This window comes from Homo sapiens, chromosome 2 (genome assembly GCF_000001405.40).
Source record: "Homo sapiens chromosome 2, GRCh38.p14 Primary Assembly".
Lineage (NCBI taxonomy): Eukaryota > Metazoa > Chordata > Mammalia > Primates > Hominidae > Homo > Homo sapiens.
Window position 1 is genome coordinate 87423843 of NC_000002.12, and position 14741 is coordinate 87438583.

Genomic DNA, 14741 nt, shown 5'->3' on the forward strand with positions numbered 1-14741 from the left:
CAGCGAAGACACCCAGCCAGCCAAGCAAGCCAAGCCACCCAGCCAGCCAAGCCTGCCAAGAGACCCAGCAACCCAAGCCAGCCAAGACACCCAGCCAGCCAAGCTAGCCAAGACACCCAGCCAGCGAAGCCAGCCAGCCACCCAGCCAGCCAAGCCAGGCAAACAACCCAGCCAGCCAAGCCAGCCAAGCCACCCAGCCAGCCAAGCTGGCCAAGCCACTCAGCCAGCCAAGCCAGCCAGCCAGCCAAGCCGGCCAAGCCACTCAGCCAGCCAAGATGGCCAAGCCACCCAGTCAAGCCAGCTAAGCCAGCCAGGCAGCCAAGCCAGCCAAGCCAGCCAAGACCTCCAGCCAGCCAAGAAAGGCATGCCAGCCAAGCCAGCCAGGGAGCCAAGCCAGCCAGCAAGCAAAGCCAGGCATGCCAGCCAAGCCAGCCAGGCAGCCAAGCCAGCCAAGCCAGCCAGCCAGCCAAGCCAGGCATGCCAGCCAAGCCATCCAGCCAGCTAAGCCAACCAGCAAGCAAAGCCAGGCATGCCAGCCAAGCCAGCCAGCCAGCCAAGCCAGCCAAGCCAGCCAACCAGTCAAGCCAGTCAGCTAGCCAAGCCAGCCAAGCCACCCGGCCAGCCAAGCCAGCCAGCCAACCCAGCCAAGCCAGCCAACCAGCCAAGACATTCAGCTAGCCAAGCCAGCCAACCAGCCAGCCAGTCAAGCCGGCCAGCCTGCCAGCCAACCAAGCCAGCCAGACAGCCAAGGCAGCCAAGCCGGCCAGGCAGCCAAGCCAGCCAAGCCACCGACCCAGCCAAGCCACCCAGCCAGCCAAGACAGCCAAGCCAGCCAAACCAGCCTGCCAGCCAAGCCAGCCAAGCCATCCAGCCTGCCAAGCCAGCTGGCCAGCCAAGCTAGCCAATCCACTCACCCACTCAAGCCAGCCAAGTCACCCGGCCAGCCAAGCCAGCCAAGCCAGCCAGCCAGCCCAGACAGCCAAGCCAGCCAGCCCAGACAGCCAAGCCAGCCAGCCAGCCAAGCCAGCCAAGCCACCCAGCCAGCCAAGCCAGCCAGCCAAACCAGCCAAGCCACCCAGCCAGCCAAGCCACCCAAGACAGCCAGCCAGCCAGCCAAGCCAGCCAACTAGCCAAGCCAGCCAAGCAAGCCACCAGCCAAGCCAGCCAAGCATGCCAACCAGCAGAGCCAGCCAACCAGCCAAGCCAGCCAGCCAGCCAAGCCAGCCAAGCCAGCCAGCCAGCCACTCAAGCCATCCAAGCAACCCAGCCAGCCAAGCCAGCCAAGCCACCCAGCCAGCCAAGCCAGCCAAGCCAGCCAAACCAGCCTGCCAGCCAAGCCAGCCAAGCCATCCAGCCAGCCAAGCCGGCCGGCCAGCCAAGCTAGCCAATCCACTCACCCACTCAAGCCAGCCAAGTCACCCGGCCAGCCAAGCCAGCCAAGCCAGCCAGCCAGCCCAGACAGCCAAGCCAGCCAGCCTAGACAGCCAAGCCAGCCAGCCAGCAAAGCCAGCCAAGCCAGCCAGCCAGCCAAGCCAGCCAAGCCACCCAGCCAGCCAAGCCAGCCAGCCAAACCAGCCAAGCCACCCAGCCAGCCAAGCCACCCAAGACAGCCAGCCAGTCAGACAAGCCAGCCAACTAGCCAAGCCAGCCAAGCAAGCCACCAGCCAAGCCAGCCAAGCATGCCAACCAGCAGAGCCAGCCAACCAGCCAAGCCAGCCAGCCAGCCAAGCCAGCCAAGCCAGCCAGCCAGCCACTCAAGCCATCCAAGCAACCCAGCCAGCCAAGCCAGCCAAGCCACCCAGCCAGCCAAGCCAGCCAAGCCAGCCAAACCAGCCTGCCAGCCAAGCCAGCCAAGCCATCCAGCCAGCCAAGCCAGCCGGCCAGCCAAGCTAGCCAATCCACTCACCCACTCAAACTAGCCAAGTCACCCGGCCAGCCAAGCCAGCCAAGCCAGCTAGCCAGCCCAGACAGCCAAGCCAGCCAGGCAGCCAAGCCAGCCAAGCCAGCCAGCCAGCCAAGCTAGCCAAGCCAGCCAAGACAGCCAAGCCAGCCAGCCAGCCAAACCAGCCAGCCAGCCAAGCCAGCCAGCCACCCAGCCAAGCCAGCCACCCAGCAAAGCCAGCCAAGAGACACAAGCCAGCCAGCAAAGCTGGCCAAACCAGCCAAGCCAGTCAGCCAAGCCAGCCAAGCCGGCCACCCAGCCAAGCCAGCCAAGCCTGCCAACCAGCCAGACAGCCCAGCCAGACAGCCAGCCCAGGCAGCCAAGAGACCCAAGCCAGCCAGCGAAGCTGGCCAACCCAGCCAAGCCAGTCAGCCAAGCCAGCCAAGCCGGCCACCCAGCCAAGCCAGCAAAGCCAGCCAACCAGCCAGACAGCCCTGCCAGACAGCCAGCCCAGGCAGCCAAACCAGACAAGCCAGCCAGCCAAGCCAGCCAAGCCAGCCAGCCAGCCAAGACAGCCAAGCCAGTCAAGCCAGGCAAGCCAGCGAGCCAGCCAAGCCAGCCAACCCAGCCAGCCAAGCCAGCCAACCCAGCCAGCCAAGCCAGCCAAGACAGCCAGCCAGCCAAGCCGGCCAAGCCAGCCAGCCAAGCAAGCCATGGAAGCCAGACAGCCAGCCAGCCAAGCCAGTCAAGCCAGCCAGCCAGCCAAACCAGCCAAGCCAGCCAACCCAGCCAGCCAAGCCAGCCAAGCCAGTCAGCCAGAAAAGCCAGCCAAGCCTGCCAGCCAGTCAAGCCAGCCAAGCCAGCCAGCCAGCCAAGCGGCCAAGCCGCCCAGCCAGCCAAGATGCCAAGCCACCCAGCCAGCCAAGCCTGCCAAGAGACCCAGCAACCCAAGCCAGCCAAGACACCCAGCCAGCCAAGCTAGCCAAGACACCCAGCCAGCGAAGCCAGCCAAGACAGCCAGCCAGCCAAGCCGCCAAGCCAGCCAGCCAAGCAAGCCATGGAAGCCAGACAGCCAGCCAGCCAAGCCAGTCAGCCAAGCCAGCCAAGCCGGCCACCCAGCCAAGCCAGCCAAGCCAGCGAACCAGCCAGACAGCCCTGCCAGACAGCCAGCCCAGGCAGCCAAACCAGACAAGCCAGCCAGCCAAGCCAGCCAAGCCAGCCAGCCAGCCAAGACAGCCAAGCCAGTCAAGCCAGGCAAGCCAGCGAGCCAGCCAAGCCAGCCAACCCAGCCAAGCCAGCCAGCCAGCCAAGCGGGGGGAGCCACTCAGCCAGCCAAGATGGCCAAGCCACGCAGTCAAGCCAGCCAAGCCAGCCAGGCAGCCAAGCCAGCCAAGACCTCCAGCCAGCCAAGAAAGGCATGCCAGCCAAGCCAGCTAGGCAGCCAAACCAGCCAGCAAGCAAAGCCAGGCATGCCAGCCAAGCCAGCCAGGCAGCCAAGCCAGCCAAGCCAGCCAGCCAGCCAAGCCAGCGAAGACACCGAGCCAGCCAAGCAAGCCAAGCCACCCAGCCAGCCAAGCCTGCCAAGAGACCCAGCAACCCAAGCCAGCCAAGACACCCAGCCAGCCAAGCTAGCCAAGACACCCAGCCAGCGAAGCCAGCCAGCCAGCCAGCCAAGCCTGCCAAGCCACCCAGCCAGCCAAGCCAGGCAAACAACCCAGCCAGCCAAGCCAGTCAAGCCACCCAGCCAGCCAAGCCAGCCAAGCCGCCCAGCCAGCCAAGCTGGCCAAGCCACTCAGCCAGCCAAGCCAGCCAGCCAGCCAAGCCGGCCAAGCCACTCAGCCAGCCAAGATGGCCAAGCCACCCAGTCAAGCCAGCTAAGCCAGCCAGGCAGCCAAGCCAGCCAAGCCAGCCAAGACCTCCAGCCAGCCAAGAAAGGCATGCCAGCCAAGCCAGCCAGGCAGCCAAGCCAGCCAGCAAGCAAAGCCAGGCATGCCAGCCAAGCCAGCCAGGCAGCCAAGCCAGCCAAGCCAGCCAGCCAGCCAAGCCAGCCAAGCCAGCCAGCCAGCCAAGCCAGGCATGCCAGCCAAGCCATCCAGCCAGCTAAGCCAGCCGGCTAGCCAAGCCAGACAAGCCACCCGGCCAGCTAAGCCAGCCAGCCAAGGAAGCCAAGCCAGCCAACCAGTCAAGCCAGTCAGCTAGCCAAGCCAGCCAAGCCAGCCAGCCAGCCAAGCCAGGCATGCCAGCCAAGCCATCCAGCCAGCTAAGTCAGCCGGCTAGCCCAGCCAGCCAAGCCACCCATCCAGCCAAGCCAGCCAGTCAAGCCAGCCAAGCCAGCCAACCAGTCAAGCCAGTCAGCTAGCCAAGCCAGCCAAGCCACCCGGCCAGCCAAGCCAGCCAGCCAACCCAGCCCAGCCAGCCAACCAGCCAAGACATTCAGCTAGCCAAGCCAGCCAACCAGCCAGCCAGTCAAGCCGGCCAGCCTGCCAGCCAACCAAGCCAGCCAGACAGCCAAGGCAGCCAAGCCAGCCAGGCAGCCAAGCCAGCCAAGCCACTGACCCAGCCAAGCCACCCAGCCAGCCAAGAGAGCCAAGCCAGCCAAGCCAGCCAAACCAGCCTGCCAGCCAAGCCAGCCAAGCCATCCAGCCTGCCAAGCCAGCTGGCCAGCCAAGCTAGCCAATCCGCTCACCCACTCAAGCCAGCCAAGTCACCCGGCCAGCCAAGCCAGCCAAGCCAGCCAGCCAGCTCAGACAGCCAAGCCAGCCAGCCAAGCCAGCCAAGCCAGCCAGCCAGCCAAGCCAGCCAAGCCACCCAGCCAGCCAAGCCAGCCAGCAAGCCAGCCAGACAGCCAAGCCAGCCAGCCACCCAGCCAGCCAGTCCAGCCAGCCACCCAGCCAGCCAAGCCAGCCAGCCATCCAGCCAGCCAGGCCAGCCTGCCACCCAGCCAGCCAAGGCAGACAAGCCAGCCAAGCCAGCCAGCCACCCAGCCAGCCAGGCCAGCCAGCCACTCAGCCAGCCCAGACAGCCAAGTCAGCCAAGTCAGCCAGCCAGCCAAGGCAGCCAAGCCAGCCAACCGAACAAGAGAGCCAGCCAACCAAGCCAGCCAAGCCAGCCAGCTAGCCAAGCCACCCAGCCAGCCAGCCAGCCAAACCAGCCAAGCCACCCAGCCAGCCAAGCCAGCCAAGCCAATCAGCCAGCCAGGCAGCCAGCCACCCAAGCCAGCCAAGCCAGCCAAGCCATCCAAGCCAGCCAGCCAGCCAGCCAGCCAAGCCAGCCAAGCCTCCCAGCCAGCCAAGCCAGCCAAGCCACCCAGCCAGCCAAGCCAGCCAAGCCACCTAGCCAGCCAGGCCCGCCAGCCAGCCAGCCAGCCAAACCAGCCAAGCCACCCAGCCAGCCAAGCCAGCCAAGCCAATCAGCCAGCCAGGCAGCCAGCCACCCAAGCCAGCCAAGCCAACCAAGCCATCCAAGCCAGCCAGCCAGCCAGCCAGCCAAGCCAGCCAAGCCTCCCAGCCAGCCAAGCCAGCCAAGCCACCCAGCCAGCCAAGCCAGCCAAGCCACCCGGCCATCCAAGCCAGCCAAGCCAGTCAGCCAGCCCAGACAGCCAAGCCAGCCAAGCCAGCCAAGCCCGCCAACCAGCCAAGACAGGCATGCTAGCCAAGCCAGCCAGGCAGCCAAGCCAGCCAGGCAGCGAAGCCAGCCAAGCCAGCCAGGCAGCGAAGCCAGCCAAGCCAGCCAGCAAGCAAAGCCAGGCATGCCAGCCAAGCCAGCCAGCTAGCCAAGCCACCCAGCCAGCCAGCCAGCCAAACCAGCCAAGCCACCCAGCCAGCCAAGCCACCCAGCCAGCCAAGCCAGCCAAGCCAATCAGCCAGCCAGGCAGCCAGCCACCCAGCCAGCCAAGCCAGCCAAGCCACCTAGCCAGCCAGGCCCGCCAGCCAGCCAGCCAGGCAGCCAAGCCAGCCAAGCCAGTCAAGCCCGCCAGCCAGCCAAGACAGGCATGCCAGCCAAGCCAGCCAGGCAGCCAAGCCAGCCAAGCCAGCCAGCCAGCCAAGCCAGGCATGCCAGCCAAGCCATCCAGCTAGCTAAGCCAGCCGGCTAGCCAAGCCAGCCAAGCCACCCGGCCGGCAAAGCCAGCCAAGCCAGCCAGCTAGCCAAGCCACCCAGCCAGCCAGCCAGCCAAACCAGCCAAGCCACCCAGCCAGCCAAGCCACCCAGCCAGCCAAGCCAGCCAAGACAGCCAGGCAGCCAGCCACCCAAGCCAGCCAAGCCAGCCAAGCCGGCCAAACCAGCCAACCAGCCAAGCCAGCCATCCATCCAAGCCAGCCAAGCCAGCCAGGCAGCCAAGCCAGCCAAGCCAGCCAGCCAGCCAAGCCAGCGAAGACACCGAGCCAGCCAAACAAGCCAAGCCACCCAGCCAGCCAAGCCTGCCAAGAGACCCAGCAACCCAAGCCAGCCAAGACACCCAGCCAGCCAAGCTAGCCAAGACACCCAGCCAGCGAAGCCAGCCAGCCAGCCAGCCAGCCAAGCCTGCCAAGCCACCCAGCCAGCCAAGCCAGGCAAACAACCCAGCCAGCCAAGCCAGTCAAGCCACCCAGCCAGCCAAGCCGGCCAAGCCACCCAGCCAGCCAAGCTGGCCAAGCCACTCAGCCAGCCAAGCCAGCCAGCCAGCCAAGCCGGCCAAGCCACTCAGCCAGCCAAGATGGCCAAGCCACCCAGTCAAGCCAGCTAAGCCAGCCAGGCAGCCAAGCCAGCCAAGCCAGCCAAGACCTCCAGCCAGCCAAGAAAGGCATGCCAGCCAAGCCAGCCAGGCAGCCAAGCCAGCCAGCAAGCAAAGCCAGGCATGCCAGCCAAGCCAGCCAGGCAGCCAAGCCAGCCAAGCCAGCCAGCCAGCCAAGCCAGGCATGCCAGCCAAGCCATCCAGCCAGCTAAGCCAGCCGGCTAGCCAAGCCAGCCAAGCCACCCGGCCAGCCAAGCCAGCCAGCCAAGCCAGCCAAGCCAGCCAACCAGTCAAGCCAGTCAGCTAGCCAAGCCAGCCAAGCCACCCGGCCAGCCAAGCCAGCCAGCCAACCCAGCCAAGCCAGCCAACCAGCCAAGACATTCAGCTAGCCAAGCCAGCCAACCAGCCAGCCAGTCAAGCCGGCCAGCCTGCCAGCCAACCAAGCCGGACAGACAGCCAAGGCAGCCAAGCCGGCCAGGCAGCCAAGCCAGCCAAGCCACCGACCCAGCCAAGCCACCCAGCCAGCCAAGACAGCCAAGCCAGCCAAACCAGCCTGCCAGCCAAGCCAGCCAAGCCATCCAGCCTGCCAAGCCAGCTGGCCAGCCAAGCTAGCCAATCCGCTCACCCACTCAAGCCAGCCAAGTCACCCGGCCAGCCAAGCCAGCCAAGCCAGCCAGCCAGCCCAGACAGCCAAGCCAGCCAGCCCAGACAGCCAAGCCAGCCAGCCAGCCAAGCCAGCCAAGCCAGCCAGCCAGCCAAGCCAGCCAAGCCACCCAGCCAGCCCAGACAGCCAGCAAGCCAGCCAGACAGCCAAGCCAGCCAGCCACCCAGCCAGCCAGGACAGCCAGCCACCCAGCCAGCCATCCAGCCAGCCAAGCCAGCCAGCCATCCAGCCAGCCAGGCCAGCCTGCCACCCAGCCAGCCAAGCCAGCCAAGCCAGCCAAGCCAGCCAGCCACCCAGCCAAGCCAGCCACCCAGCAAAGCCAGCCAAGAGACCCAAGCTTTTTCAGCCACCAGCCATCACTATCCTCTTGTTTTCAAACAGGATTGGGATTTGATTATTTCAAACCCTTCATGGGATTGAAACTTTGTCTTAAGTCAGTGACTACTACATTTCCAAGTACTTTCGAGGAGACATATTTTCATGTGTTTTTTTGCATAGCTCTGGATTTCAACTTACACACCCAGAAATGTCACCTTTAGAGGCCCCTTTGTTGAGTACATTTGATCTCAAGTATTCCAGGTCTGGGGATGGATCTAGCTGGAAAATGTTCAGACACTGAAGTTTCTAGAGCCTGAAGATGCTCCCCTATCAGGTACCAGGACCAGCCAGATCTCATTCTCTGACTCTACATAACTTCTGACAAATGAAATGAAGTTTCCGTTTTTGGCCAACCATGGAGCCTGCTCCGTGTCTGATATTCTTCTTTGAAGACTGAGGATGTGACCTGATTGTTCTCTGCCTCCTTTTTCTAGCTACATTTTTTTTTTTAGCTGGTTCTCACACGGGCTTTCCATGGCCTCTCTCTGATTGTGGGGACTGGCCGTTTCCCAGGCACAGCACCTTGGCCTGGGGGAGCCGTGAGAACTGATGAGTGTCTTTTGAAGGAGTCACTGGGCTTCTGCAATGGGAGGATCTTGGTGTGTGGGGAGCGTGGGAACTTTTCCTTTTGTTGGTTCAGGAATGAAATTGTTGTGTAAATGGACCAAGAGACCTAAGGAAAGGGACAGTCCTTTTGGCTGGTGGGTCCTCTCCACTGATAGATCCAAACAACAGAGTGGAAAATGTACCACAAGAAGACTACGCTCGTTGCCTGGAACTCAGTAGCCCCTGTGGCTGGTGTTGGCACTTGCCTTACCAGTGTGAGCCTGGTTTTCCCGATCATTTGGCCTTCCACAATAAGGACAATTTAAGAGATTATTTCTCAATGTTAACTACTTCCTTGATTAATTTTGTGATCTACCTTTCTCCTTTCTGACCAGTAGTAGAATCCATTTATGTTTTCAAGATGTTGCTACTTAGGATACAATTATTTCTAAGAAATACAAGTGACATTGCTTTGTAGAATGGGAACCATGTTCTACAGCCCTGCAAAGACCTGTCCTGAGAGAGCTGGGGGGACGCAGGCTTGGAGGAGGTGAGGGCAGGCACTGAGTGGGTGGAGGGAATCAAACGGCTGCCAGAATAAACATCAGATGGAGCTCCTGGGCTTCTTGAGGGGTAGAATTTCCTCTGAGCTCTCTACAAGACCTCAGCCACAACCATTCATCTACTTAATACATTGAAGCAATTCACATAAAAAGCCAGACAGATTTTTTTCTCTGAATTTAAAACTGGATTTAGAGACTAGATTAATAAATATTGTCTTTGTCATGTGAGTCACTTTGGAGAGAATCATGTCCCCACTGTATGGCAATGCAGCAGATCCTGACCATGCATATTTAGTGTGTCCTTCCTGCTCTCTTGGGCAGACCATCCCATCAGGCTATAGCACGGAGCTCTCACCCATCTCCCTGCTCTGCCATGCACCCTCCTTCTTGCCTGCTCTTTCTTCTCCCTATGGCCAGCCCCTCCAGCCAACATACTTTTTATCTCTCTTTGTTTTGCAAAATCCTTTTCTCCTATCACTTCCATCATAAAACTAGTATTTGGCAAACAATCACATGTCGGCATAAAGCTCTTAAATTGACCTGCTTTAGATTAAAGCACAATATGGGTTTTATAGTTTGCCTCAGGTGACCATTTAAATGTCTTGAATAATGAAATGAAAAACTGGACAGACTAAAATAAGAGTCCTGTCTGCCTGTGACAGTGAAGAATAAGAGTCCTGTCTGCCTGTGACAGTTAAAGAATGATCCCTCATTGCCTCTCACACAGCTGCAGTCAGGGTTCCCACCACCCTTTCTGCTGATTCTGAAATCAGCCCTAGTTCATAAATTATCAGGGAATTTGGTGAGTTTTCTCTTTTAATGTCAGTCTGTTTATTTGACTGGTAGTTTCTGGCCTTAACACATCCCACTAATGTGTTGTTTAGTTGAGCACAATAATAAATAGAACTTTTGTTTACTTTTACATCCAAAGATAAATGTTGAGTGCTATTAAAAACTTTTCTAACATAGTAGGCCTCCAATGAGGAATTTTCCTTCAGCAAATCATAAAACTGGGTCTAGAAGTGCCAACCCAAGTAAAATTACTGATGAACTAATCATAGTTGTTATTTTTCCTTCATCTTTTCCTTTTTTTTTTTAGACAATCTTGCCCTGTCGCCCAGGCTGGAGTGCAGTGGCGTGATCTCGGCTTGCTGCAAGCTCTGCCTCCTGGGTTCACGCCATTCTCCTGCCTCAGCCTCCCGAGTAGCTGGGACTACAGGCGCCCGCCACCATGCCTGGCTAATTTTTTTTGTATTTTTAATAGAGACGGGGTTTCACTGTGTTAGCCAGGATGGTCTCAATCTCCTGACCTCGTGATCCGCCCACCTTGGCTTCCTAAAATGCTGGGATTACAGGTGTGAGCCACTGCGCCCGGCTCCTTCATCTTTTCTATGTGCTTTGTTTGACACTTATTGAGGATACAGTTGCTGAAGACCAGCTGAGTAGGACATAGGCTCTGTCATGCATTAACTCATCCACCCATTCATTTATTCACTCATCTATTGAGCATCTGCTATGTGTCAGGCTCTATGCCAAACTTTCTGTTCAGGAGCCAATATATCAATAACTACAGTGTAAGCTAAGTCATGCAATGAAAGACTTAGAGAATAGACACCAAGTTGAATATTAACCCAAGTAAATTATTGGAAGATATATTAGTTATCTAAAATAGGCTTAAAACAATAAACATTTATTATCACAATTTCTGTAGGTCCAGAATCTGGACATGACTTAGCTTGATGTTTATGGCTCAAGACCTCTTGAGGTTTCAATAAAGGTGTTAGTCAGGGCTGCAGTCTCATCTGAAGGCTCATCTGGTTGGGGGTGGTGTCTGTATCTATGTGGTTATTGGCAGGCCTTGGTCCTCACTACACTGGAACTCTTCAAAGGGTTATCTCATGACACAGAAGCTAGCTTTCCCCAGGGTGAAGAATGTAAAAGAATGTGAGAACTCTTAAGACAGATGCTATAGTCTTTTCTATAACTTAATTTTGGAAGTGATATTCCATCACTTCTGCCATATTCTTTGTTAGAATCAAGTCAGTAAATCCAGCCCAGATTCAAGTGAAAGGATTCCACAAGAGTGTGAGTACCAAGAGGTAGGGATATTGGGAGCCATCTGAGAGGCTGCTTACCACAGAGGGCCAGCCAGTTAGGAAGTGGGTTCAGCTGCTGCTGTTAACAGGCTCGACCTAAGTGGCTTAAACACAGAAGAGTTGTTGTTGTTGTTGTTTTTTCTAATGAGAAATCTGGAGGCAGTCAGTTGCTGGCCTTGGCTCAAAGGCTGAGGGCACTGTGGTTCTTGTAGCCTTTCGCTTATGGCCCTAAGCTGCTGGAACTCTTGCCATCATGTCTGCATTCCAAGCAGCAGAACAACAAGAAAAGAACAGGGGGAGAAGAGAAAGAGGGCACCAGCCCACTGACTATCCTGTTCATCCTGGGAAGTACCACTCAACAAGCTCAACTCTCATTTCCACAGCCATCTCCAGCTGCTCAGGAGTCTGGGAAATGTAATCACATGCACCATTATCCCCAAGTGCACCACTGCCTCCAGCCCCTTTCCACCTTTCAGTTATAGCCATAAACATCCAGTTAGCCATAAACATTCAGCTAATGCATGTGCAGATTCTTGATCTACAGAAATTGTGATAGTAAATATTTATTGTTTTAAGTCTATCTTAGATCACTAACATATCCTCTACTTAACATTTCACTTGGGTTAATATTCAGCTTAGTGTCTATTCTCAAGTTTTCCATTGTATGTCTTCGTTCGCACTCTCCTCATTGAAATATTGGCTCCTGATTAGAATGCTTGAGTACTGTTCTTTTATACCACCAAGCCTGCTCCTCAAGCCGATTTTGTGCCCCGCAAGCCAGCGATGGCTCTATTAATGGTTGTCCTTGTCTTTTATGAGTTCATGTGACTGGGTGGGGGAGATTCAACACCCACCCTCATGCTGCTCACTCTCAAGTAAACAAGTAAGCCAACATTAGAGTCTCAGGGCTATGAATGGGAGCACAGAAATCACAGTGCAACCTCCCAAGTACAGGTCAGGAAGCCTGGTTTAAATATTTGAAAGCAATTTGAGGAAGTTCCCAGTGGGAAATGAACTTGAGAACTAGGTCATTCATATGTCCATTCAACATCTACCTTCTGCTTATCTGGAGTGTGCATGGCACTGCCTGGGGCCACTGCAGTGAATAAGAGAGATGAGAACCCAGGCAACTCCGAGAGACCCAGTCCCACCTGCTTTGCTGGCAGGGGCTTAGGATGCAGTCACTTTCCATTAAAGTCAGAGTCCTGGAGTCCCATCTGCTTTGCTTCTGCATTCCCTACAATGATGAGTGGTTAGGAGTCCAGGTCTCAGAGAAAGACTGTCTAGGTGTGGGTCCCCACCTTGTCACTTCTGTGTCCCCTTGTGTGAGCTGCTGGACATCTCTGGGCCTCAGTTTCCTAATTTATAATGTGGTTGCCTGTCAGAGGATTACATGAGAAGATGCATATTGCTTAGCGTAGTGCCAAGGGCATAGTAATAGCCCAACACTTATTAACCACGTTGATGATGGCTATGGAGATGATGGTGATGATGACAATGATGTTGATGATGACAATGGTGATGATTATGATTCAGTTTCTATTCTAAGATGTGGTTACAGTTTCCTAACTTTGGGAGATATGCCTATCTGTATATATCACGGCATAGTCTCTTTCTCTTATTGTAGAGAAAACACCTTCACATTATAGATGCACCGCTTGGCCTTCCTATCTCTCAGTGTAGAGGAGACTCTGGAATTCCTCTTGACTGGTCCAGATGCCCACAAAATTCTACAGACAAGCAGCACCAAACTTAAGAGCATACATGTGATCCAAAATATTCTTTTAAAGTCAAAGCTGTCATTGCATTTTTCCAGAAATAAAATGATAAAAACTGTGCACAGGACTGCTTATCATACTTAACTCTTAACACAGCTGACCTTTAAATGGCATTAAGAGTACCAACCTGAGTTCTGGGTCCTAGGAACCAGGAGGAGATAAAAGATTAAGAAATAGGGAAGGAGAGCCCGGGTGTGGTGGCTCACGCCTGTAATCCCAGCACTTTGGGAGGCTGAGGCGGGTGCATCACCTGAGGTCAGGAGTTCGAGACTAGCTGGCCAACATGGTGAAACCCTGTCTCTACTAAAAATACAAAAATTAGCTGTTCTGCAGACTTGGGTCTAGAGGTGATCAGTTTTTCCCCAGCCAAAGCCCAAGGGCAGCCTTGCTCCTCTCTCCCTCCCCTGGCTTATGTTCCCCTGTGTATGACTGTGTCCCTCCAGCCCATGACCTATAGAGAATGCAGACCATCTCTCTGCCAGTGTTGGAGACCAGATCCCATGGAAGGGCACTCATGTCCAGCCTGGGGCCCCCTGCCTTGGCAGACACTACTAGTTGACATAATCCAGCTACTTGGGAGGCTGGGACAGGAGAATTGCTTGAACCCAGGAGTCAGAGGTTGCAGTGAGCTGAGATTGCACTGCTGCACTCCAGCCTGAGTGACAGAGTGAGACTCTGTCTCAAAAAAAAAAAGAAAAAAAAAAAAAGAGAAAGAAACAGGGAAGGAAAAATGACTGGAAGAAGATGAATATGCTGAGCCACATTCTGAGATTGAGAAGTCTATCTATGATCACTTGCACCTCTTCTCTTCTGGGTAGTGTCTACTTCCCCACGTCCCTCTGCCATTCTTTTGCTGAAGCCATGCCCACCTTACCATGGGGTGCAGGGCAGTGAAGAAGCAGCAAGCTGCGAAGGCTGAGCCATACCTGGAAAGAGTGACTGCTAAGTGCGTGTGTCCCTGGAGGCATTTGTTCCTTCACAAGGAAATGGTTGTGAACTCAAACTGGGTTCTAATTGTCAACATTCAAGGGAGTTGGCAAAAAGAGTCATTATTCAATAAACTATACCAAATACTACAGTATGTGCCTGGCATGTTGTAGATGCTGGAGACACAGGAGTGAACAAATAAGCAAAGCCCCTGCCCTGTCACTGCATTTCTGCAGAAAAGATGTTTTGCTTCAGGGAAGCCAAATCGCTCACCAGGAGCCTGGCCCCGAGTCCACTCTTGGGGTCAACACCCAGGGCTGCCCAGTGGGCTGTGTCTGCTGTCCCCCCGGTCCTAGCCCACAGGCTTTTTGAAATCTCCAGTGTGCTCGCCATGAGGAAAGCAGGGGTGAAGTCTGCTGGGCAGCCTTTGTCATGTCTGTGATTAAGGACGACTCTTTTCTGGAAATTAAAATGAGCAGTCCTGCTATCTCACCGTACAATCACTGGCATAGTTTACTTTTTTATTCTGTGTCTGGATTTTCCCCCTGGGGCTGCAGCAGTAAGCCTGCTTCCTTGGTTCAAAGCCAGTGTGTGTTTCTGCAAGAAAGAACTTCTGGATCAGCAGGGCCCCTTAACAGGCTGCAAGCTGGCTCTTGAGAGGGAGCAGGCAGCCAAACAATATTTGGCCTGTCCTTCCCCTCCATGCCAGCCTTAGTTCTGGTTCCTGCTCAGTAGGCAAGGGGCAGCCCAGGACTTCAGAGGGAACCTGATAACTTGTCTTTGTGTGATTAAGGCTGGGTAGCAGAGCCCACTGAGAACCAGCTATGCTTCACCATAAAAATAGAACTTAGCTCTGGGTACCAGGGAGTTTTAATAATGTGGAAAAATGCTTATGTTGTCATGTTAAGTGAAATAAAGTAGAGTCCTAAGCAATGTATACAGTGTAACTACAACTCTGTAAACAGAGAGAGAGCAGAAGGAAATATAGGAAAATATTAATAGTGTGTGGCTTTGGAAGGTGGGATTAATATGCTCTACTTGGCTGGGCACAGTGGCTCATGCCTGTAATCCCAGCACTTTGGGAGGCTGAGGTGGGTGGATCAAGAGGTCAGGAGTTCGAGACCAGCCTGGCCAACATGGTGAAACCCCGTCTCTACTAAAAATACAAAAATAAGCCAGGTGTGGTGGCATGCACC

The 14741-nt window shown here is 55.9% G+C and overlaps 1 annotated feature.

Annotated features, from left to right (window-relative positions):
* Window positions 1042-1854: an enhancer, noted in NCBI's record as "H3K27ac-H3K4me1 hESC enhancer chr2:87724395-87725207 (GRCh37/hg19 assembly coordinates)". NCBI's record gives its function as "activates a minimal SCP1, AML or CMV promoter by ChIP-STARR-seq in primed H9 embryonic stem cells {active_cell/tissue: H9 hESC(primed)}" and the evidence as "EXISTENCE:reporter gene assay evidence [ECO:0000049][PMID:30033119]".